General features: G+C 43.4%; 1 long non-coding RNA gene across 1 annotated transcript in view; it reads right to left on the reverse strand.

Annotated features, from left to right (window-relative positions):
- The window catches only part of LOC105370575 (uncharacterized), an 83107-nt gene that overhangs the window by 41772 nt on the left and 14978 nt on the right, over nucleotides 1-26357 (reverse strand). The window lies entirely within an intron of this gene.

Raw genomic sequence — 26357 nt, forward strand, 5'->3', positions numbered from 1 at the left:
TGAAGGCTGCTGAGATGCAGAATCAACTATGGCAAATTGAAATACACGCATTTATTGTCATCCCTTCCCCAAACCAGCTAAAGTATGATAAATGGATTTTAAAAGGCACGGGCCCATAAGGATAAAGAAAATGAAAGAAGACGATAGCAATTAAATATTAGAAATGAAAAGGAGATGATAGCAATTAAATATTGGAAGTTGGAAACCAAATGAACAAGAGTTGCTGACCTGGCTAACCAAGGAAAGCTAAAGCTGAAGTCAGGAGTGGGGCGGAGGTAGGGGTGTGAGGGAGTGAGAGCGGAACCCCAAAGCAGGTTACAGGAAGTTCTGGGACCCCAGCAAGGCTGAGGTATTAGAGGCACCGGGTCCCTTGAAAATGAGAGGATAGGCGCGGTGGCTCACGCCTGTAATCCCAGCACTTTGGGAGGCTGAGGTGGGCGGATCATTTCAGCCCAGGAGTTTGAGACCAGCCTGGGCAACATGGCAAAACTCCATCTCTACAAAAATACAAAAATTAGCTGGGTGTGGAGGCACATGCCTGTAGTCCCAACTGCTCAGGGAGCTGAGGTAGAAGGATCACTTGTGCCTGGAAAGCGTAAGTTGCAGTGAGCCGAGATAGCGCCACTGCACTCCAGCGAGACCTTGTCTCAAAGAAGAGAAGAAGAGAAAAGAAGCGAAGAGAAGAGAAGAGAAACAAGCTAGATGGGACTAAAATAAAAAGGACAGGTTTAAATTCAGAAAAGTAGCTGTTAGAAGCCCTATACCCTCCTTCCTCCCTCTCCACAATGCGGGCTACTGATTTCCCCTCCTCTACCACAGAGAAAGGAAAGAGATTTATTTTCTGGAGAAATTGAGCCAGAAAGGCTCTGGACTCTCAATTCTAGACATGGCTGAAGGCAGGGATTCCATATTGAAAATAGGAGCATTAAGTGAGTTTCTACACTGAAAATCAGTTCCTTTATTCCTTTCCCCACTTGGCTCCTGGAGCTTCAACAGTTGGATTTACGTAAGTCAAGTTGGAGAACGAAGACTCCTCCCTGAGGAAACCAGTGAAACCAAGAGAAAAGACCTACAAGACCTTGGGACTTGCCTTATCCATGGTGCCCACTTGATGAGACCTCGGGAGAAATTTCTGACTTTAATTGGGCTTCTGTGGAACAGCTGAGCAACGCTTAGGAACATTGTGAATCTTGTAAGGAAGGGAATTTCCTTCTTTGCTTTGTTTCTGGAAAGCATAACTCCAAATTCTCTGCCCACCTCAAGCAGTTATATGGGAATTCACTTATGTATTTCTGGGCACTCAATGTATTCCTAACTTTCCGAAGCCACCTCATTTTAGTTTCACCCTGATTCCCATCCATTGATCCACCCACCCTCTTACTCACTCACTCATTCAACAAACATGAGTGGATTGAGTGTGGTGCCAGACAATAGGCTCAGTGTTGGGGACCAGGGACTAATGCTCACGGACCTTAAACACACTGCCATTGTAGGCAATAGAAATGGTATGCAATTTGAGAAATTGCAATTTCTTTGAGAAATCCATTTTGGAAGTATGTGTGGGTGACGATTGTTATAAATAGCTACATATACAAAGACTGGAGCTGATCTAATATACCCAGAGCAGAGAACAGAGGCACTGAAATATTTTCTGCAGCAGCAAAGCAGGAGGGACTTAGGTTAATGGGTGCGTGCTAGGATCTCCAAACCAGTGGCAAAACCCGTGTTGTCTATTGCATCTGCCACCATGGGTGGGTAGGCATGGAGGGGGGACTGGGTGGGGGAGGATCCTGGGAAAGGGTGCCTTCTCATGGAGGAACCTCAGCCCTCAAGGAATTGAAATAAGAGAGAGACAAAGAAATGAGCTCCTACTCTTGTCACTCAGATGTCGCTCTAAAGCATCTTTACTCTGGATTTATGTTCCTCGGTGCCTGTATAACCCTGCAAGGCCACGGCATTACAGAAAATCGCCAGCAGTTTCAGAAACACCAGTGTGAGTCCAGTTACTGCTTCTCTCTGATCTTTAGTATATGTGCTGCTGAAGTGAGCCCATCTCTGATCTTTAAAATGATCTCAGATCTCTAATATGAAGGGGGGTCTCAATGCCTAGACCTGCCCACCATCACCCCTCACTGGCTGGGAAAGGCTGGGGTGTGCAGAATACAGGTGACCTGCCCCTGGGAGGTCCATGCTCCATGGTCCAGATGGGGCTGAGGATGCTTCACCCCAGGGCAATGTTAGCAGAGTGGCAGCCCATGCTTTGGCTTAGTATGGCATTCTGCATCAATGCATGTGCACGCACATGCTCACATGTGTGCACACTCTTACAGGGAAGTTAATAGAGATCTACAGCCCTCGTTACCATTTGCTTTCATAAATAAATATATTAAATTGGGAAGCCAGATTTATTTCTGGCAACAGCTTGCAGGCGACACCTCCCCCTCTTATTCACAGTTCCTGAAGCGAGCCCAGCCTCTCCCACCCCACCCCCAGGCGTGACTTTCTCTCTTAAAATTCTATTTTTAATTTGTTGTGATGAATGAGTGACACCTCTGACAGCCGATTCGCGGAGATTAATAGAAACGACACAATATTTACGTCGGCGCTACGAACAATTATCCTGCCATCTATCTCTGAGATTATCTTCCTGATTGAAAACTACTCATCCGTGTAATCGGAATTATTTGGAATTAGAAGGGAATTTATAGCCCCCCTAGAGCACGCTCTCTCCCCTCGAGTCTACACCTCGGTCTCCATCTTTCTCTTGTCTCTCCTCTGGGCCTCTGGCTTTCTCTTCCATCCTGGTGATGGGCAGAGAAAAATCTTTTTCTCCTGGAGGGGGCCACTGGTCACTCAGGACAGTGGGCATCTCTTTAGGGTGGCCTGGGACTCCATGATATGGATCTAGAAGTAGTGGTTTGTGGGAAGGAGGATCTTCGTGGTGTCATAAGAATTAGGGGTCAGCGAGGCCAGCTCCTGAGCTCAAGATAGATGAATATGATCTGAAGAAAAGGGTTTAATACAAAGGTGGAGAAGAAAGGTGACTTTGGAAAGCACTTGGTGTCAGACGGTGACAACTGTAAGAAATCTAAAGGAGCAGGATGGGATTGCAATGATGGTGTTAAGGTTGCTCTATTTCTGTTATGACTGTCTTAGTTGGCTCAGGCTGCCATAACAAATACTATAGACTAGGGGGCTTAAATACATTTCTCTACAGTGCTGGAGGCTGGGAGTCGGAGATCAGAGTGCTAACTTCGTTGGATTCTGGGGAGGGCCTCCTCCTCCTGGCTTGCACATGGCTGCTCTCTCATGTCCTCACCTGGGAGAGAGAAAGAGAGAGAGAGACAGACAGACAGACACACAGAGAGAGACAGAGAGACATACAGAGACATACAGAGAGAGAGGCAGAGGGAGAGAGGGGTAGAGAGAGGGACAGAAAGAGAGAGACAGAGAGAGAGAGGAAGAGAGAGGAAGAGAGAGAGTTAGAGACACATACACAGAGAGAGAGGGAGTGAGACAGAGAGAAAGAGAGAGAGTCAGAGACACATAGAGAGGGAGAGAGAGGGAGTGAAACAGAGAGAGAGAAAGAGAGAGGGAGAGAGACAGACAGAGAGAAATAGAGACAGAGAGACACAGAGAGACAGAGACACAGAGAGACATATAGAGAGACATACAGAGAGACAGAGAGACACACAGAAAGAGGCAGAGAGAGGGGGGAGGGGAGAGAGAGAGAGGGACAGAGAGAGGAAGAGAGAGAGAGACAGAGAAAGAGATAGGGAGTGAGACAGAGAGAAAGAGAGAGAGAGGGAGAGAGAGATAGAGAGAGGGAGTGGACAGAGAGAGAAACAGAAAGGCAGAGAGAGAGGGAGAGAGAGATAAGGGAGGGAAAGAGACAGAGAGAGTAAGAGAAAGAGACAGACAGAGAGGGAGACAGAGAGAGAGGGAGTGAGACAGAGAGGAAGAGAGAGAGAAGGGACACACACCCACACACATGCACACACAGAGAGAGTGTGCTCTTGTATCTCTTCTTCTAAGGGCACTAATCCCATCAGGAAGGCTCTACCCTCATGAAGACACCATCTCCAAATATCATCCTTCTGGGGCTTAGGGTTCCAACACAAGAATTCTGGGGGGATAAACATGTAGTCTATCGCAGACATAATGATGCAAAGAGCTGGAGAGGGTGAGTCAGGCAGGCTAGAGGCTGGACCCCATCAAGGCTCACATTTGGGTTGTAAGGATGGGGAGGCGAGGCTGAGAAACAGCATGTGCAGCTCTGGAGAAGCCCGAGAGCCTGTTTCTCACATTGGGGAGGCTGGAGAGTGGGGGTCAGAGTAAGAATGAATGGAGACACTAGGAGTGCATGCTCTGTTTTCGGTTCTCTGCCTGGTCCCTGCCTGTTAGCCTGGTGGATTCAAGGTTGGGCCCTGAGTCAGACAGACTTCAATTGACTCCCTGTTCTGCTACTCCAAAGCTGTGTGACCCCAGGCAAGTTTCTTAACCTCTCTGAGCTTCCATTTTTTTTGTCAGTAAATTACAATTTATAATCCTCCTTGTTGGAGTGTGCACTATCTGTATATTGAGGGTAGCAATAGTACCTACTTTACAAGGATGTGTGTAGATTAAATGAGATCATGCAAGTAGGGTACTTTGTGCAGTTTCCACTACATAGGAGGGACTCAATATATGTAGATGCTACAGATGAGATCAACCTAAACCCTGGGCCTCTTTAGGAGACAAAGACCTGGGCTCCTGGAACAGCCCTGGCCTGCCAGGTTCCTTTCCCCACCTTTCGCATCACACATCCTGATGACCTGTCTGCCTGCATCTCCTCCTGCTTCCAGCCCCACTTCCCCCTCTCTCTTTGTGGTACTGGAATATTTTCTGCAGTAGCAAACCAGGCTGGGACTTAGTTTAGTGGGTGCATGCCAGGATCTCAAATCACCTTTGTTATTTCTCCCCTCCTGTAAATACTTGTAATTGCAAAGATGTATTGAACATGCACTCTTCCCTGGCATGTTTCCAAGTTCTTTACTGGAATTCATGTATTTAACCCACACACTATCCCTGGAGGCTAATTGCTATTAATTATTAACATTCCCATTTTACAGATGGGGAAACTGAGGCACTGGGAGGTGAGATAACTTGCCAAAGTCACATGACTGGTGTGGTCAGCAGCCTCTAAGCTGCCCTTAAGGTTCTTGCCTCTGGTATTCACATCCACATGCAGTTCCCGCTCCCTGTGTGTGGGCTGTGCCTAGTGACTTGCTTCTAATGGATAGAATAGATCAAAGTGCGGCATGTCACTTCTGAGATTAGGGCAAAAGCCCGTGACATTTGTCTTGCTCATACTCTCTCTCCCTAGCTCCTTTAGATTGTTTGCTCTGGTGAAGGGACCTACCATGTCAGTTGTCCTCTGGAGAGGCCTCAAGGAACTGAGGACAGCCTCCCATCAGCAGCCCATGAGGAACTGAATCCTGCCACCAACCATGTGAGTGAGTTTGGAAGTCTGAGATGACTGCAACCCTGGGCCATACATTGGCTGTAGCCTTGTGAGAGATGCTAAACCAGAGGACCCAGCTCAGCTAGTCCCAGATTCCCGGAGCCACAGAAACTGTGGCTCCTAAAGGGGCCCAGGGTTTAGGTTGATCTCATCTGTAGCATCTCTGTATATTGAGTCCCTCCTATGTAGTGGAAACTGCACAAAGTACCCTACTTGCATGATCTCACTTAATCCACATACATCCTTGTAAAGTAGGTACTATTGCTACCCTCAATATACAGATTGTGCACACTCCAACAAGGAGTCTTGTCTTAAGCTGCTGGGTTTGGGATAATTTCTTATGCAGCAATAGATAACCAGTGCAACAAGTAATAGCCCAGCCAGGATTTAGACCTAGGCAGTTGGACTCCAGTGCCTGTGCTCTTGGCCATGTTGCTATATGGTGGATGGGGAGGCCTTTGGGATTGAACCACTCAGGTTCCCAAGTCATATTTGAAAGAGACAAGTGAGCTTGCATGGCTTTTTCAGACAGATTTAGGATGAGATTAAAGAAAGTAGTGTCTTGGTCAAGAGAATTTTTGTTGTTGTTATTTGTTTTTTTTTTTTTTTTTTTTTTTTTTTTGAGGTGGAGTCTCGCTCTGTCGCCCAGGCTGGAGTACAGTGGTGCGATCTCGGCTCACTGCAACCTCTGCCTCCCGGATTCAAGCGGTTCTTCTGCCTCAGCCTCCCAAGTAGCTGGGATTATAGGTGCCCGCCACCACACCTGGCTAATTTATTTATTTAAGTAGAGATGAGGTTTCACCATGTTGGCCAGGCTGGTCTCAAACTCCTAACCTCCAGTGATCCAAGTGATCCACCCGCCTTGGCCTCCCAAAGTGCTGAGATTACAGGCCTTGGTCAATAGAGATTAGTAAATACCATTTGGAAAATGTCACTTCTCCTTTGGGATTAACTTAGCCCTGTCCAAGAGAAACATGAGTATGTTCTTTGGGTCTAGAGGAGCTTTATTCTTTAGGTGGCTGGTAGGTGGAGAGAGAGCTCTTCTTTCATAAGAAATGTGGTGTCATCAGGGGAGTCTTGGGCCCAGAATAGATAACAGTAATCCCCAGTAGTGTTCTCAAGAAATGCTTCCAAGTCAAGGTAGCCCCACGTGGTATATAACATGGCCCTTCCTCAGTGGCTGGAAGGACTTTGCTTCCAACAGGATCATAATCTTCGTGCTACCTCACTAACATTGGAAACAAATGGAGCCAATCTGGATTTATTCATGTGCTCTGTAAACAGTGGAATTCTGCTATGGCTCTGAGGAAATGGGGACATCATAAATTTGTCATTAGGACATTATTCCTTCTTTTTAATAAATAACTTTCTTTAGTTTTGCAAGAATTGGCCAACTCTCTCAGAGGAAGGCTATGGAACCCTTAGAATTTAGTGGAGTCCAGGGACCATCCTTGAATAATGAGGGAAATCAACATTAAGGCCAACGTAGTGCATTTGTTATAAGGGTAGGACCCATATGGAGCAACAAAGAAGATAAATGTTATGTTCAAATCATAGAAAGCACCATCTGGGTAGAAAGGTAAGATGCCTTGATACTTGAGAAAATATTACCACTTTCAAGTTGGGTTTAGATTGCGTTATCTGCCTCCTACAATTAATATCTTTGGGGGAGCTCTGTGCCTCCTTTAAAAGGCCGGTAGATGAAGTAGCTGGCCTCCCTGTGGCTTATGCAGATTTAGGTACTGAAGGATAGCTGGATCTGGAAGGATCCACATCTACCACAAGGTTCAGTCTCTTTTTCCTCCCAGCTGTCCTTTAAAAGTTGGGTGAATTTTTTTTTTTGAGACAGGATCTCACTCTGTTGCCCAGGCTGGAGTGCAGTGGTACAATCGTAGCTCACTGTAGCCTCCAATTCCTGGGCTCAAGTAATCCTCCCACTTTAGCCTCCGAAGTAGCTGGATCTACGGGTGCACACCACCATGCCCAGCTAATTAAAAAAAATTTTTTTCTAGAGGTGGGGTCTCACTATGTTGCCTAGGTTGGTCTCAAATTCCTGGGCTCAAGTGATCCTCCTGCCTTAGCCTGCAGAGTAGCTGGCACTATAGACATGCACCACTACATTCAATGAAGTTGGGTGGATTTGAGTATCACCGACCATCCAGTCAGGTCCTGATCTTTTGCTCTGTAATGATTGGCTCAGACTGGGGGCATTGCCTGGGCACAGGAAGGATATAGTCAGAGAGAAAAAACTCTTACGGTGTTGGAGATGTTTCCCAAGTGAAGTGGAGAACATTTCTGAGAAATAGTCTGAGAAGGAAGAGATCCAGGGACTTCAAAGGGAAGAACATTCACCTTCAGCCCCTTATACTGCAATTTCATTAAAAAATTGCCCGACTCCTCACTAAACAAAATTTCCCAGACCTGGACTTAGGAGATAGAAAGGAGAAGCTGGTAAGGCAAAGGTTAGACTGTCCAAGGCATTGTATCACCAGCTCCATTGTTGTCTGGTTGCAAGAAACAGAAACTGACTGAGCCGACCTAAGCAAAACTGGAATGTATTGGAAGGGTGGCAGAGCTCACAGAAAGGCCAACCCTCATAAAGGAGCCAAGGCGGCTGAAGATGTGGGGATGCTTGGCTGTTTTCAGCCTTTGGGTATCCAACTTTACACTCACCGCCTAAGGAGAGATTGGCCCAGGATGAGTCATGTGATTGGCGGTGCCTCCAAGGCTGCAAGTAATGGATGTGGCAGCGCTCGCCAGAGCAAAACTGGAGAGAAGTTATCAGACAAAGGGTATGCTGGACAAACAATAACAATAGAATATCTACCAATTACAACCAATCTCTCTCTCTCGCTGAAATCTTCATATTTGTCTAAAAAGTTAGTATCAGGCAAAGACAGCTTTCTTTCCATTGATCCTAAGCTCATCCAACAGAAATGAAACCATCATTCCTTCATCATGGATAAGCCTCTTTTCCTTCTCAGTCTCCCGTCAACACCCAAGACCCCATTCCAACTGCCGGTGTTCAGTGTGTGTCCTGGAGACATACGCAGCACCCAGGTCTCGCTGCCAGGGAGGAAAAGCACGTGGAATTGTGTGTACAGTTGCCCCTTTCTTAGGAGCTTCCTTGGATGCAAATAGATGATTCTACAGAGGACCAGGGCAGGGCCCAGGGACAGCAGCTGAACCTTATTTAAAAACGACAGTGAGATGTCTGTATTTGTTTGGGAGTGTGATGTGCCGGGGCAGGGGGCACTGCGGTGAGGTGTGTGCTATTCTGATGGGGCCTGGGAGTGGAACAGACCAGGCCATTGGTGCCTCACGTGCTACAAGCCTAGGAGCATGAACTTGCCTAGCCTCAGGCAGCGCCTAGTGCTGGAGGAGCCAACTCGAAGTGCGTCCTGGGAGAGCAACCTCTTCGTAAGAGCAGCCGTAGGGGGCATGCGGAAAGTCATCAGGGTAACCAGCCTTAATAAAGGTAGAAGATGAGATTGGAGAGGGGTAGGTTGGAGCAGGGGGGAGTCAGAGGGAAGGAAATGATTGTAGGAGAAACAGATGCAATTGAGCAAGACTCCTGGAGATGGATTTCCCTGCCTTGGTCCAAACTCAAATCCCTGTGCTCAGATTAATTAGCAAGGAAATATTTTCCTGTCTGCAGAACAAGGCTGCTGGATTGCCAGTGGGACAGGAGGGTGGGCAGTCTATCAAATAACTACTAATTAGGTTACTTCCCACTGCTGTTGACATGCTGGGGACATGTTCCTGGGCCAAAATAAAAGGGGGAGGAGGGGAGAAGAATGGAGGCAGAGTTAGAAGAATAGACCAGGATCCTCTCTGTTCATTTTAGAAAATTGTTGGCTGGGATTGTGGAAGAACTGGATGCAAACAGGAAGACAACAGAAGAGAAGCAATGTGCTGGTTAACAGACAGCCCAGGGCCAAGACCTGTGTTTGTGCTTGTATTTTATTGTTTTCTACAAATGATAGGAAAACATGAGCAGTGGTGGGACAGGTGCAGGTAGGGCAGGGATTTGGATGATGCTAATAATGATGGTGTGTGTTTATTGAGTGTTTACTTTCTGCCAGGCTTTTCCTAAGCACTTCTTTCATCCATCCGCTCAACAAGCATGGGACAGGAGGTTAGGTGATTCATACACATTTGCATCATTTGTTCTCACAACTATGGGGAAGACCATTTAGGCTTTTTTACAGATAAGGAACTTGGGGGGGCTCAGAGAGGTTTCATAACTTGCCCATGGTCACACAGCAAGTAAGAAGTGGTAGAGCTGAGTTTTGAACCAAGGTCTGCCTGACTCCAGCCTCACTACCCTTCACCACTACTCCACCGATAATGCACATTCGACCATATACACATTCTCTTCTTTCTTGTTCCTTTGCCTGTTTCCTAGTTCTACCCTGAAGTTCTCAAGGCATGTTCTTTACTAAGTCACATGCAGGAGTCTTAACTGTATGGCAAGAGGGGCACCATCATTTTCCCTGAGGTCTGAGGTTTTGAGATCTGGTAGTGACCTTGAGAGGACATCATCATCTAGTTCCCTGTCTTTAGCCAGAACTGAATTTGAACCATGTCAAACTGATGAGCATCCATCGTATTTGTAGACACCCCTCAAAGGAGAGTTGTACAGCCTATTCCACTGACATCCTGACCAAGGCATCTCCATCATGCCTAGGTGGAGTTGGCCTTTTTCCTTACATTCTGTCTTCACTGGAGACCAGGCAGGTGAAATCAGCTGGGTGTGAAGTGGCCTTCAGCCATGTCCTCTCCTGGGGAATCCATCCCCCTCCTTCCACTCTTTCCTTGTAATTGGAATTGGACCACCTGGTGCCCACGGCTCTCTGGGGTGAAGCTCCCTCTTGGTGTGTCCTGTTCTTCAGTGACATTTATTTTTGCTTTCCTCATGTCCCCTCTTGCAGTGCTCATCCTGTTGTTACAGTAGCTATTTGTAGCCTATGCACCAGCCTGTGTGTTCTTGGGGCCAAGGACTGTGTCCTATGCTCCTTCCTGTCCCCTGTATTGCATATTGTACCATGAACCTAGTAGTGAGTGTCCCATGCATGTTTGCTGAATGAGGGAGTGAATGTCTGACAGACGTTTCATGGCTTGCATCCAGCCTGCCCCTAAATGTTTCCCTAATTTCTAATGCTGACACTAGACACCCCACTGAAGGACTAGGGTGTCTAACTATTCCATGCTAAGTATGGGCAAAAGAGGACAGTTTGACCAAGATGCTCTTTTACCCTTGTGTATCCAAGTTCCCTCTGATCATTAAATGAGCAGAGACTTCACACAGAAGGTGTTGCTACTGCTGCAGATGGAGGTCAGAATTAAGGTACTGCTACTGTTGATCTCAGACCTTTGAAAGCCAGACCCAAGCTTGGGGTCTTGGGGATGGGGATGCTAGGGGATGGGATGGCCAGATACACCAGAGTGGCTGGGAATGAAAGAGTGTCCCGGAAAACCTGCTTCCTCGGAGCCGATCCTGTGTGAGCAGAAGAAATCTATCCACAGAGGGGTGAGATCGCAGAGCAAGTGGGTTACCTAAAAATAGCAGTGCTGGTTTCCCACAGTTAGAGATGGGTCCTCTGCCATTCATCTCAATTGCTTTGTGCAAGTTTGCTTATTTATTGAGAGCGAGAGAAAAGGATCAAACCATTCATCCAAAGATGGAAATCTGCAACCTCTTCTACAATGATCAGCCAGACAGATGAGCTGAGTGAGAAGTCCCTGAAATCTCAGAGGCCTAGGGCTGGCCAGGAGAGTGGGATGGGCATGCTTAGGAGAGTGGGGTGGGCATGGTTAGGAGCTGCCCCCAGCTTGCCCTGCCTTCGTAGCAGAGTTGATGGTGGGCTGAACCTTACCCCCAACATGGGGACTTTTGCAGGGGAGGCAGACCTGTGTGTACATGTGAGGGTACATAGACATACATGAACGTCTAGCTCTCTGAGGGAAGAGATGAGATGCATAAATCACCTAACCCAGCACAAAGTACACACAATAGGTGCTTAGTAAATGTTAATTAGGGAGTCAAGTAGGTAGAAGTTGAGGTCAGGGCAGGAGGAGGCAGGGATAGAGGAACATAATGTGAAGTAGCCAGAGTATTTTTGACAAAAAGGTGTGGATTTTGGAGTCAGGAAAGCCTAGGTTCAAATCCCAGTTCCACCACTTGTTAACATGGTAACCTCAGGCCAGTTACTTAACCTCTCAGAGTATCAGAGTCTTCACCTATACATTTTGAGAATGGCATGACATCTCATGGTGTTACTAGGATTATTAAGTAAAATAATATATTTAGAGTACCTGTACCAGCCCGGGGTTCGATAAATTACAGCTGTTTTTCTTTTTATTATCATTTATTGTGAATATCATGGACAATGAGGTTCCTCAGTTTATTAACAGTTAGAATCTTACTTTAAAAAAAGAACCCAAATTAGGCTGGGCATGGTGGCTCATGCCTGTAATCCCAGCAGTTTGGGAGGCCAAGGCGGGTGGATTGCTTGAGGCCAGGAGTTCGAGACCAGCCTGGGCAACATAGCAAGATCCCATCTCTAAAAAAAAAAAACAAAAGAACCCAAGTTGGAAATACTTGCAAGTCATGTATCTAATCTGATAAGGGGTTAATATCCAGAATATATAGAGAACTCATAAAACTCAACAATAACAAAACAAGCCATTCAATTAAAAAATGGGCAAAAGACTTGAATAGGCATTTCTCCAAAGGAGATATAAATGGCCAATAAACACATGAAAAGGTGTTCAACAACACTAATCATTAGGGAAATGCAAATCAAAACTACAATGAGATACCACCTCATACCTATCGGTATTAGGATGGCTACTATCACTGTCAATGGGGATGTAAATGATACAGTCACTCTGGAAAACAGTATGGCAATTCCTCAAAAAATTAAAAATATAATTACCATATGATCCACAATTCTACTTCTGGGTATGTACCCAAAATAATTGAAAGCAGGGTCTCAAAGAGATCTTTGTACACCCATGTTCATTCTTCACAATAGCCAAAATGGGGAAGCAACTCACCCATTGTCCATTGTACATTGATAGATGAATGGATATGCAAAATATAGTGTATACATATATATACATATACACACACACAATGGAATATTATTCAGCCTTTAAAAATGAAATTCTAACATACATTACAATATGGATAAACCTCAAGGATGTTATTTTTGGTGAAATAAGCAAGTCACAAAAAGACAAATATTGTATGATTCCATTTATATGAAGTACTTAGAGTAGTCAAACTCATTGAGCAGAAAAGAGAATGATGATCCAGGGAATGTGGGGAGAGGAAAATGGGGCGTTTTTGTTTAGTGAGTACAGAGTTTCAGTTTTGCAAAATGAAAAGCATTATGAAGATGGATGGTGGTGATGTTTGTACAATATTGTGAATGTACTTAATACCACTGATGTGTAATTTAAAAAGGATTAAGATGGTAAACTTTGCATGCATTTTATCACAACAAAAAAAATTGGAAAAGCACTAAAATCAAAGATACCAATTTTCCCCCAATCGATCCATAGATTTAATGCAATCCCAATGAAAACATCAGTAGGCTTTTAAAAAACTGAAATTGACAAATGTATTCTAAAATTTATATTGAAATGCAAAGACCTCATAATAGCCAAAACAATTTTGAAAAAATGCAAAGTTGGAAGATTTATACTACCAGACTTCAAGAGATACTATAAAGCTACAGCAATAAAGTATTGGCATAAGGATAGGCATATTAATGAATGGAACAGAATGGAGAGTTTAAATGTAGATCCATAGACATGTATGGTCAATTGATTTTCGACCAAGCTACTGAGGTTTTCCACGAGGAAAGGTTAGTCTTTTCAACAAATGATGCTGAAAAAGTTGGATATCCATTTGGAAGAAACCCCAAAAACCCAAAAAAACAAAAAGCCTTAATTCTTCTTACTTATCACAACACACAGAATTCAACTCAAAATGGATCATAGGCCTTGGGACAAGTAATATTATGTGTCAACTTGACTGGGTCACAGGTGCCCATACATTTGGTGAAACATCATTCTGGGTGTTTCTGTGAGGGTGTTTTTGGATGGAATTAACATTTAACTTGGTAGGCTGGATAAAGCTGAGTGCTCTCCCTAATGTGGGTGGGCCTCGTCTAATCAGTTGAAGGCCTGACTAGAACGAAAAGGCTGACATTCCTTTGAGTAAGAGAGGATTCCTCCTGCCTGATGGCATTTGAGCTGGGCTGTCAACTTTTTCCTGCCCTTGGACTTGAACTAAAACACTGGCTCTTCCTGAGTCTTGAGCCTGCCAGCTTTGCACTGGAACTATACCATCAGCTTTCCTGATTCTCAGGCCTTTAGAGTTGTCCAGAACTATACTGTCAGCTCTCCCGGCTCTCCAGCTTGCCGACTCACTCTGCAGATCTTGTGACTTGTCAGCCTCCATCATCATGTGAGCCAATTCATTATAATAAATATCTTTTCATATCTCTGTATATCTCCTGATGATTCTGTTTCTCTGGAGAAACCTGACTAATAAAAGAAAAAAAAAACCTTAAACTTTTGTTCATTGAAAGACAGTGTAGCAGGCTGAATAATGGCCTCCCAGAGATGTCCATGTCCTAATCCTGGGAACTGTGCATATATTACCTTACATGGTAACAGACTTTTCAGATGTGATCAAATTAAGGATCTTGAGATAGGGAGATTTTCCTGAATTACCCAAGTGGGCCCAGTGTAGTTACAAGGGTCCTTTTAAGGAGGGAGGGAGGAGGGTCAGAGTAGATGTGATGACAGAAGCAGAGGTTGGAGTGATGCGGAGCCACCAGTCAAAAAAATGCAGAAAGCCTCTAGAAGCTAGAAAAGGCAAGGAAATGAATTTTCCCCTTGAGCCTCCGAAGGAACACTGTCCTGCCAACACCTAATTTTAGCTCCATGAAATTGACTTCCGACCTCCAGAACTATAAAATAATAAATTCGTGTTGCTTTTAGTCAGTAAATTTGTGGCGATTTGTCACAGCATCAATAGGAAACAAATACAGATGCTATTAAGAAAATGAAAACTCAAGCCATGTCTTGCAAGAAATGTACTCTCTCTCCACACACAGACACGCACTCACACGCACACACACACTCACACACACACACGCACACACACACACACTCTCACACACACACACATCCTGACTTATACCAAGAATACATAAAGAAGTCTCACAGCTCAATAAGAAAAACAACCTGATTTTAAAATGGACAAAAGATTTGAACAGACAAAAAAGATATACAAATGGCTGATAGGCACACAATAAAGCATATCATTAATTAGGCAAATGCAGGTTAAAACCACAAGATCCTACCACATACCCATTAGAACAGCTAAAATTGAAAAGATTGCTAATACCAAGTACTGATGAGGATTTAGAACAATTAAAAGTTGCATACATCGCTGCTGGGAATGCAAAATGGTCAACCACTTTGGAAAATTGTTAGCTAGTTTCTTATAAAGTTAAACATACGTTTACTATACAACCCAGCAATTCCACTTTTATTTACTCAAGATAAATAAGCACATATGTCCATGCAAAGATTTGTACATAAGTGTTCATAACAACTTTACTTGTAATAGCTGAAAACTAGAAACAATCCCAAATGTCCACCAACCAGTGAATAGGTAATTGTTATTATGATATGACAATATCTTGGAATAACACTCAACAATAAAAAGGGCTGAACTACAGACACACGACAGCATGAATGAATCTCAAAAACATTACACCAAATGAATTAAGTTGGGCCAGAAAAGTATATACTCTATGATTACATTTCTATAAAATTCCAGGAAAGGCAAAACTAATCTAGAATATCACAAACAAAGTGGTTGCTGGGGCCAGGAGTAGATCTGGGCAAAGGGGCAGGAAGGAGTTTTTTGGGGGTGAAAGAAACATTCCATATCTTGATTGTGTAATAAGCTGGGTGTTAATATTTTAGAGGACCATATGATCTCTGTTGCAACTACTTAATTTTGTAAACAATATTTAAACAAATGGGTATAGCTGGATTTGTCTCAAGGGCCACAGTTTGCTGATCCCTGGTCTAGATCCATCAAGCTGTACTCTTAGAATGGATGCATTTTACTGTATGTAAATTATGCCTTAATACAGTTGACAAAAATAACAAAAAATCAAAATTAATATGTAGCTATTTTTGAAGTTAATTTTTTGGAAATCTGCATACAGAAAATGTACAAAGCACACGTACATAGCTTGATGAATTTTAATTTTAGCATTCTGGTAGATGTGGAATAGTATCTCATTGTGGTCAATTTGTATTTCCCTGATGACAACTCACATTGAGCATCTTTTTTATGTGCTTATTGGCCATCTGAATTTTTTTTTGTGAAATGCCTGTTTAAGTCTTTTTCTCATTTTAAAATTTGGTTGGTTATATTTTTTCCTTACAGATTTGTGTGAATTCTTCATCTACTCTGGATATAAGTCTCTTTGTCAGAGATGAGTTTTGCAAATATATTCTTCCAATCTGTGGTTGCTTTTTTACTCTCTTATGGGTGTCTTTTGATGAACAGAAGCTCTTATTTTTAATGCCAATTTATCAATATTTTTCTTTACGTGAGTGCTTCCTATGACCCATTTAAGACATCTTTGCTTACCCAAAGATAATTGAAATATTCCTCTATGTTTTCTTGAAAGAGCTTCACTTTTTACCTTCCACATTTAGTTTTTCAACCTGGAAATAATTTCTGTGAATGAATATCCAATTGACCCAGTTCCATATATTGAAAAGGCAACTGTTTCCCACTTCACTGCAGGGACACAATTATGATAAATCAAATAACCCTATGTGTGTGGGTCTGTTTCTCTATTCTGTTCCATTAATCTAGTTCTCTGTCTTTGCACCAACACCATACTGTTTGAATGAGAGCTTTATACATTCTTACCATTTGCTATAAGTCCTCAAGTTTTATTTTTCTACTTCAAGATTACCTGTTTTTTATTGAGTCTTTGCATTTCCATATAAATTTTAGAATCAACTTGTTAATTTCTCTAAAAAACTGCTGGGGATCTGAGTAGGATTACATTGAATATATAGATCAATTCATGTACAATTTATCTCTTTACAATATTGAGTCTTATAATTCATGAACATTGTATATCCCTTCACTTATTTGGGTTTTATTTTCTCTCAGTAACTTTTCATAATTTTTATGTAAGTGTTTTTGTGCATCTTTTATTATATATATATTTTTTCAGGTATGAGATTTCTAAAATGCTATTGTAAATTGTATATTTTTTTAAATTATATTTTCTAATTGGTTCTGGTATGTAAGGGTATAATTCATTTTTGTGTTTTAACTTATATCCAGGGCTTTTACTAAGTTCACTTATTAATTCTAATCATTTATTTATTTTTTACAAATTTTCCACATAGATAATTATGCTGCCTGCAAATAGTGACTATTTTATTTCCTCATTTCTAATTCTTAAACTTTTAATTTCTTTTCTTTGCCTAACTGCTCTGGCTAGCATCCCAGCACAATGTTCAACAGAAGTGATATCTGTGGACATTTTTGTCTCATTCTCAACTTCATGGGTAGGAGAAAAGAAGGCTTTTAATAATTTACAGTTATTGCGAAAGTGAGGTTTATTGTGGGTTTTTCATAAATAGCCTTTTTTAAAATAATGAAGTTCTAATTTATTCTTAGTTTGCTAAGAGTTGTTTTAAAATCATGGGTAATAAATTTTATCAAAAATTTTTTCTGCATCTGTTAAAATGACTGTATGTTTCTGTCTTTTCTGCAAATATAGTGAATTATATTGATTTTTGAATGATAAAAAAAACCTTGATTTCCTATAATAACTCTAAGTAGTTGTGATGTATTTTCCTTTTTATATAACTCTGGGTTTGATTGGCCTATATTTCATTTTTATACAACTCTAGGTTTGATTGGCTAGCATTTATATTTGTGAGGGATATGGACCTATATTTTTCCTTTTCTATAATTTCCTTATCATATTTTATATCTGATTATGCTGACCAGATTATATTCCCCACAAATAACAAGCTGGGAAGTGTTCTCTCTTTTTCCATTCTCTGGAAGTTTGGGTACAATAGGTGCCATTTTTTTCCCTAAATGTTTGGAAGCATTCGCCAATGAAGCCATCTGAGATGTAAATTACAGATTTAAATATTTTAATATATAAAGATAACTATTCATATTTTCTGTTTTTTCATATGTCCATTTTAAGATTTTTAAAGAAATTTGTTCATTTCATTAATATTTTTAACTATACCCACACAAAGTTATGATAGTCTCTTATCTTTTTTTTAAGTTTGTAGGCTCTGCAACCGTGTTTCTCTTTTCATTCCTGTTTATTAGTCTTTTCTGAGAACCGATTTTCAGCTTGTTGTTTTCCTCTTATATACATTTATTTTCTATTTAAATAATTTCTACTCTAATATCCATTATTTCCTTTTCTTCCCTTTCAATATATTGAATATATCAATATATATTCAATATAATTGAATATAATATTCAATATAATTGAATATAATATTCAATATAATTGAATATAATATTCAATATAATTGAATATTATATTCAATGTAATTGAATATTATATTCAATATTCTTTTAGACTTATCCATATATAGGCCCTTTTCATTTTTCATAATTATTTCCTGTATTTTTATGTTCACATATGGGATCATTTTTGTCTTGCCTGAGAAGAGCTATCTTTAGTGTTCCTTTTAATGTGGGTCCAGCCACAATGGAATATTTATTTTTGTTTCTCTGAAAATGTAATTACGTTACTTTTACTTTTGAAGTATATTTTCACTGAGTATTCCAGGTTGGCTTTCTTTTCTTTAAGCACTTTAAAGATGCCATTTCTTGCCTTCTGGTTTCCATCATTTATGTTCAGAAGTCAGCTGTCAGACTTCTTGTTGCTCCTTTTAGGGAGATGTATTTTTTTTATTTTTACTATGACTGCTTTTAAAATTCCTTTGTCTTTAATTTTCAGAAGTTTTACTAGGATGTGCTTGGATGTGATTTCTTCTGTATTTATCCTTCTTGGGGTTTGCAGTGCTTCTTGAATATTTGGTTTGATGTCATTTGTCAATTTTGAAAATTCCAGGTCTTTGTTTTTTTATTGCTTCCATGAATTATGGCTCTTCTCCACTTCTAGGACTCCAGAGACACATGTTTGAGAACATTTCACCATTTCTCGTGCACCTTTGCTCTCTTTTTATATTTTGCATGTTTTTTCTTTGTGTTTTAGTCTGATTTTTTTTCCAACTGATCTATCTACCCGTAAAATAATCCTTTCTTCATTTTTGTCTATTATGCTATTAAATCCAGGTATCGAATTCTTAATTCGTTATTGTATTATTCAATGGTAGAATTAATAAATTCCAATTCTGAGATGAACTTCTCCATCTTGTCAGTTATTTTCTGGAAGATTTTCATTATATTTATTTAAAAGTTCATGCCTAATAATGCAAATATCTCTGTCATCAGTAGCTCTGTTTCTATTGGCTTTGTCCTCTTTTGTATGCCAGGAGAATTTATTGAACACCAGATTTGCATAAGAACAGTCATAGAGGGAGTGATCAAATGTTATCTCCCTCGAGAAAGGGTTCACTCTTTCCTCTGGAAGGCAGGTAGAGCAGGGCAGACCACCTCAGTGCCATCAAGGATTAAGATGATTCAAAGTGGGTTTAGACTTATTAAGGCTTGGCCTACCCTTGATGTTCCTTCCTCTTAGGGTGTAGTCTTCTAAAGTTTCTAAGAGGGAGCTTGAGATATTTTCAAGCTCCGTCTTCAATGTTCAGCTGTTTTGAAAGCTCTTCGATACCTTCCAGCAGTTTTGGGTTTCATCCATCTTTTCTGTTTATTCTTGGTGGAAACATTGGTGGAATACAAGCTACTCTATTATAGTGAGAAGCAGACTATAACCAATATTCCTTTTTTTTTTTTTTTTTTGGAGACAGGGTCTCACTCTGTTGCCCAGGCTGGAATGCAGTGGTGTGATCATGGCTCACTGCAGCCTCAGCTTCTTGGGCTCAAGTGATTCGCCTGCCTCAGCCTCCCAGGTATCTGGGACTACAGGAACAGGTCACCTTACACCCAGCTAATTTTTGACTTTTTTTTTTGTAGAGACAGGGTCTTGCCTTGCTGCCCAGGCTGGTCTCAAACTCCTGGGCTCAAGCGATCCTCCTGCCTCAGCCTCCCAAAGTGCTGTGATTACAGGCGTGAGCCAGCACACCTGGCCCAATATTCTTTTTTAGAATCTCTAGAACTGTTGTTTAGGTTCTGAGCCAGGATTAGAATTCATACATTTTCTGAACAATATTTATTGAATTTCTACTATGCTTCAGACATTGTTTAGGGGCTGGGGATATAGTAATAAATAAAAAGCAAAAATGTGGTGTTTATATTTCAGTGGGAGAGATAGACAATTAGCAAAATAACTAAGTAAAATATATAGTGTGTGACAAAATGAAAAGTGTTAGGGAAAATAAGAAAGAGAAATAGAAATGTTTAGGGGAATGAGTTATAATTTTGCATAGGATATGCAGGAAAAGTCTCACTGGGAAGGTCTCGTATGCATGAAGGCCTGATGGATGTGAGTGAACAAGTTATGTGGGTATCTGGGGAAGAACATTCTAGGCACAGGGAACAGTAAATGCAAAAGCCACGAGGCAGGGGCACAGCCAGTGAGTTGAAGGAAGAACAAGGAGGCCAGTGTGGCTGCAGCAGGTAAATGATGAGAGCATGGTAGAAGATAGGTCAGAGAGGGCCAGGCACGATGGCTCACACCTGTAACCCCAGCAGTTTGGGAGGCTGAGGCTTGAGGTCAGGATAGCTTGAGGTCAGGAGTTTGAGAGCAGCCTGACAAACATGATGAAATCCCGTCTCTACTAAAATTACAAAAAAAAAAAGAAAAATTAGCCATATGTGGTGGTGCACACCTGTAATCACAGCTCCTTTGGAGGCTGAGGCACAGGAATCGCTTGGGCCCAGGAGGCAGAGGTTGCAGTGAGCAGTGATCGTGCCACTGCACTCCAGCCTGGGTGACAGAGTGAGACTCTATCTTACTGTCTTAAAAAAAAAAAAAAAAAGTCAGAGAGGAAATGGGGACAATATATGGAGGACCTTGGAGCTCCCTGAAAGGACTTTAGCTTTTAGTCTACATGAGATGCGAAGCCCTGGAAGGGTTTGAAGCATAGCAGTGACGTGACCAACTTCCAATTTAGCAGGTTCATTCTGGTCACTGTATGGTGACTAGAAAGAGGGAGGACAATGGCAGAAGCAAGGGGCCCCGTTAGAAGGCAGTAATCTAGGTAGGGAAGAGCTTGTACCGGGGTGTAAAAGAAGAAGTGCTAGGATTGCATATGGGGTGAGAATGAGGAGAGTCAAAGATACTCCAAGGGTTTTGGCCTGAGCAATTGGAAGACTGAAAAACCGTTGACTAAGATGAGAACAGCAGGTTTCCAGGAAGCAGGAATGGGGATAGCAGAAGCTAAAACTTGGACATAATTTGAAATGTTTATTAGACATTCGAGTGGAATCAGATGACTGGATATAAAAATATGATATTTGAGGAAGAGAACTGGGCTGGGAATGTAACTTTAGGAGCCTCAGCCAATAGCAAGGATTTAAAGCTACAATCCCTGAGGAGATGGCCAGGAGAATACATGTAGGTAGAGAAGAGGTAAGGCTCAGGACTGATCTCCAGGCTTTTGCAGCTCTTAGAGGTTCAGGAGATAAGGAGAAACCAGCAAAGGAGATTAGGAAGCAGCCTCCAGAGCTGGAGCAGGAGAATGAGAAGAGTGTGATACCCAGGAGGGAGTGATCAGCTATGGCAAGTGTGTTGCAGAGAGGCCCAATTAGGTTAGGATGGGGAACTGACCACTGGAATTAGTGATGTGGAGGCCATGGGTGATTCTGATAACAGCTGTTTGGTGTCGTGGTAGGAAGGAAAGCCTGTTATGTACAGGAGGTTGTCAGGAGAGAAATTGGAGACAGTGAGTATGGTCAACTCTTCCAAGAAGTTTTGCAATAAAGTAGACAAAGAAGAGGGGGTAGAAACTGCATTGGAAAGAGAGGTCAGAACTTTATAAAACTGGAGAAATAGCCAGGCGCGGTGGCTCACGCCTGTAATCCCAGCACTTTGCGAGGCCGAGGCGGGTGGGTCACGAGGTCAGGAGATCGAGACCATCCTGGCTAACACGGTGAAACCCCGTCTCTACTAAAAATAAAAAAAAATTAGCCTGGCGTGGTGGTGGGTGCCTGTAGTCCCAGCTATTGGGGAGGCTGAGGTAGGAGAATTGCATGAACCTGAGAGGCGGAGCTTGCAGTGAGCTGAGATCGTGCCACTGTACTCCAGACTGGGCGACAGAGCAAGACTCCGTCTCAAAAAAAAAAACTGGAGAAATAGGCCAGGCATGGTGGCTCATGCCTGCAATCTCAACGTTTTGGGAGGTCAAGGTAGGAGGATGGCTTGAGGCCAGGAGTTTGAGACTAGTTGGGCAGCATAGTGAGATGCCATCTCTACAAAAAAATTTAAAATTAGCCAAGTGTGGTAGTGCACACTTGTAGTTCCAGTTACTAAGGAGGTCAGTGAGCAAGTTATGTGGGTGGGAGGATTGCTTGACCCCGAGTGTTCAAGGCTGCAGTGAGCCATGATCACACCACTGCACTCTAGCCTGGGCAACAGAGTGAGACCCTGTCCCCTCCCACCACCCCTTGCAAAAAAAACCCCAAACAAACAAGCAAACAGACAAACAAAACTGGGGAAATAACAGCATGTTTGCTATGATGTTTGAGATGGTATGAGAAGGGAGAAATCAGTGATGCAGAGAGAAAGGGAGAATTACTTGAGCAATGACTTTGGTTGGGCAAAGGGTACCAGGGGATCCAGTGCACACGTAGGGGTTGTCTCAACCAGGCACATAAACAATTCAACAGTAGCCACACAGTGTGAGCCAAAGGCAGCTTTAGACCACACATTTCCAAGAAGAGGCTAAGGTTTCTGACCTGTCCATCTTATGACTTTATATTTTTCCTGTACTTCACAGTTAGAGAGTTGGCTTCTCTAACAAAGACTCAGCCAAAGGGGGAAAAACGTGCCAAGAGAAGGGGGCACCTTCAGAAACAGAAGAAGCAGGTTCCTTCTCTCCTGCCCTTGCGTTTGGTCCAGGCTGTTTTCTGGGAACTACAATACAAGGCAGCTTGAGGGGAGACAAAGATCTGTGGGTATAACTCAGCCCTGAAGGTCAGGCTGGCGCTTGAGCTCACTGCAGGGAGCGAACCCCCATCTCTGCCTTAGTTGAGGGTGTTATTATCCACCAGGGTCCCAAGCCTGAAATCTCACAGCTGAGATGTTCGAGGAGTTTGAAGAGAATGAGGATTAGCTACTTCCCTACAACCTCTTATAATCATGTTATAAAAGGAGCAAGTCACAGACCAAACTATGTCCTCGTAGAGAAATTTATGAACTAACTTTCTACTGGTAGGCAAGCACAAAAACAGTCACACAACGTGTTTTGGAGGCTCAGAGAAGTCCCGCCTTTCTGCCCTTTTAGGTACTCCAAGTGCTCTTTGCTTGGAGGGTCCATTCAGGCAAACACCAAGATTCCAGAGGTGGGATTCTTAGTACCGTATAGCCCACTGGTAACCAGAATTTTCCAGAATCCACTGCTGGCTGGTTATTGAACCATGTTGGGTTCTGGCTCTGAGCCTCACCCAGTGAGTAAAGCCCACAGATCCCACTGGATTCTTACACTCTGAGCGTGCAAGGGAGAGAGAATATCTCCACAACATTTTAGCTAGCCCAGGTATTGTCTTAGTTAGGTTTCTCCATAAGCAGACTCTAAGACAAACCCTTCGGTACAGATGTTCTATGTGGGAAATGATTTCAGAAAGGACAGTGAGGAGGTAGGAAAAGTAAAACCGGGGAGAGAGAAAAGACAGCAAAATGTGTGCTAAGGAGCATGTTACTGCTGTGGGCAGCTGGGCCTGAGGGTAGAGCAAACTTTGGAGTCTTTTCACCAAAGGACCGGGAGCCTGGGGCATTGCACTAATGACCCACATGCCCATTGGCTGAGGATTCCCCCGGCGGCATTCACCCTCCTGGTGGTACCTGCTTTGGGCAGAGCAAGCTCCAGTAGCGGCAGAGAAAACGCGCAGAAAAGAGAAGAGACACCGGTGTGGGGGGACATGGTTAGGCAGTCGGACCACCCTGGCCAACATGGTGAAACCCAGTCTCTACATAAATATACAAAAAATTAGCCAGGTGTGGTGGCTCGAGCCTGTAGTCCCAACTACCTGGGAGGCTGAGGTAGGAGGATCACCTGAGCCCGGGAAGTTGAGGCTGCAGTGAGCCGTGATGGTGCCACTGCATTCCAGCCTGGGTGATAGAGTGAGACCCTATCTCAAAAACCTTTAAAGAAAGAAAATCTCACATGAGAACTCCCCTCAGTGATAGTTCACAGACCGCTACCCATCAAAATCAGTCTCTGACTTTCACCATGCTGCTTAACCATGTGTTGTTCATGGATCTAGACACAAATAGGAGGCGCCCCGACCACGGGCCTCCCCACTAATTACCAACCCTGGCCCTGCACTATGCATTCCTGATGGGAGTCCCGGCAGCCCCTGGGTTACAGCTTAACCTGCATGGCACACACAGAACATCACGCTTACATGCTGAGCTGTGTTGAGGTAAATTATAGACACACAAATAGGTGGGTTGTTAGGTAAGGCTGCTCTGAGGGAACCATGAGCCTGAGCTCTGAATGAGAAGGAACCTGCCAGGCAAGGTCCAGGCAAGGTGGAGCATCTGAGGCCCAGGGACTAGTTCCTGCCACTTCCTCCCCCTCCCATTCCTTCTCTGTCCATCCCCAGGGCCTTTTATGCTTTTAAAATAACTACTTGGAAAATGCTCTTACCCATCTCTATGCCTGGCAATCTCCTCTACACTCTCAAAGCCCAGCTCAAATACCCCACCTCCTCATACATTCTATTCCAACAACTCCAGTCAAACACCCCACCACCCAAGGCATTTGGTCCTACCTGTGCCTTAGCATTTACTGTGCTGTATATATTTTGCCTTTTATGTATTTGCCTTCTTAAGAACAGTGAGAGTGGTTTATTCATCTCTGTATCCCTGGTCCTTAGCTCAATGCCTGGCTCACAGCAGATGCTCAATAAACACTTACTCAATGAATGGTATCTGTGAGGTGGTCAAGGAAGGGGATTTCTCAGGAGAAAGGGCCAGGGCTCACTCTTCTTCCTGAATCACCTTCTATTAATACCAAGTCGTCACACTCCCAGCCCAAAGCCTCCTCCCAGAAATACAAGGAAGGGAACTGCTAATATCTGAAAGGGAGAGACTTCATTCTCCATGCTGAGCACAAAGGCAGGGCTTGTGAGCTATGCTGTGGGGGAGGTTCTGCCTTCTCCCACTCCCTGGTTTAATGTGTAACTTGTCACCTTCCCCGAATGTCAATTTCTTCTATTTGCCTGTAACATTTTCACCTTGCTTGGTCGCCTTGGTTACAATGTGAAGTTTCAGGCCCAGGTCAGACCTGCCACCAGCCTACCCACCTCTGGATCCATAGTGACTGACAAAGGCTTTGACACCCTGGTCTCTGGCCCTAGGAGTCTGACCCAGAGTTCCCAAATCTGCCAAACACTCTCCGAATCACCCCCAACCCAGGGTCAGCTGGTGGCTGAGCTCTTAGGAGCCTCAGTTACTCCTGGAGGTCATGAGCCTGCCCTGTGCCTCCCACAGAGCCCTGCACCTTGGTAAGGCTCAATACATATTTGTGGAATTCAATGGAATTATTCTCCCTTGTTTGCTACAGTCCCTTCATTTGAAGATTCTATTTCTGCCTCCTAGAAGAGTTCACACTAACCTACAAGCTCTCCCTTCTTCCCTTTTCCCTTTTCCCTCCCTCCTTTCCTTCTTTCCTTTAATTTTTTGAGACAGAGTTTTGCTCTTGTTGCCCAGGCTGGAGTGTGATGGCGCCATCTCGGCTCACTGCAAACTCCGCCTCCTGGGTTCAAGTGATTCTCTGGCCTCAGCCTCCCGAGTAGCTGGGATTACAGGTGCCCACCACCACACCTGGCTAATTTTTATATTTTTAGTAGAGACAGGGTTTCACCACGTTGGCCAGGCTGGTCTCGAACTCCTGACCTCAGGTGATCCACCTGCTTCAGCCTCCCAAAGTGCTGGGATCACAGGCATGAGCCACTGCGCCTGGCCTCCTTCCTTTCTTCTACACATATTAAATCAGCACCAAACATGCAGCAGGCATGGAGGAGCCCCACAGTGACTAAGACCTTCCAGGCATCTCTTCTATGGAGATGACCTTACGGTACAGGACACATCAGCAAACCACAAGGTGACCTCACACAGTGGGAGATGCCATAAGGAAAAAACAGAGGCCCCGCCAGAGAGGAAAGGAGAGGGGTCTGCTCTGGAGAGGGCAGTTAGGGAGGGAGCTCTAGAGAAGGTGACAGAACACCAGAGGTGCAGTGCCAGTGTCTTAATGATGCAAAGCTTTTGTTTTAGTTTTTAAGATAAGGTCTTGTTCTGTCACCTAAGCTGGAGTGCAATGGCACAATCTCAGCTCACACAGCCTCAACCTGCTGGCCTCAGGCAATCCTCCCACCTCAGCCTCCCAAAGTGCTGGGATTACAGGCATGAGCCACTGCGCTTGGCCACAAAGTCTTATTTCTGGGGGAAAAAAAAAATCATAGCTAATGACGTAAGAATAACATTTGTTCATTCTGGTGGCA

Source organism: Homo sapiens, chromosome 14, assembly GCF_000001405.40.
Source record: "Homo sapiens chromosome 14, GRCh38.p14 Primary Assembly".
Taxonomy (NCBI): Eukaryota; Metazoa; Chordata; class Mammalia; order Primates; family Hominidae; genus Homo; species Homo sapiens.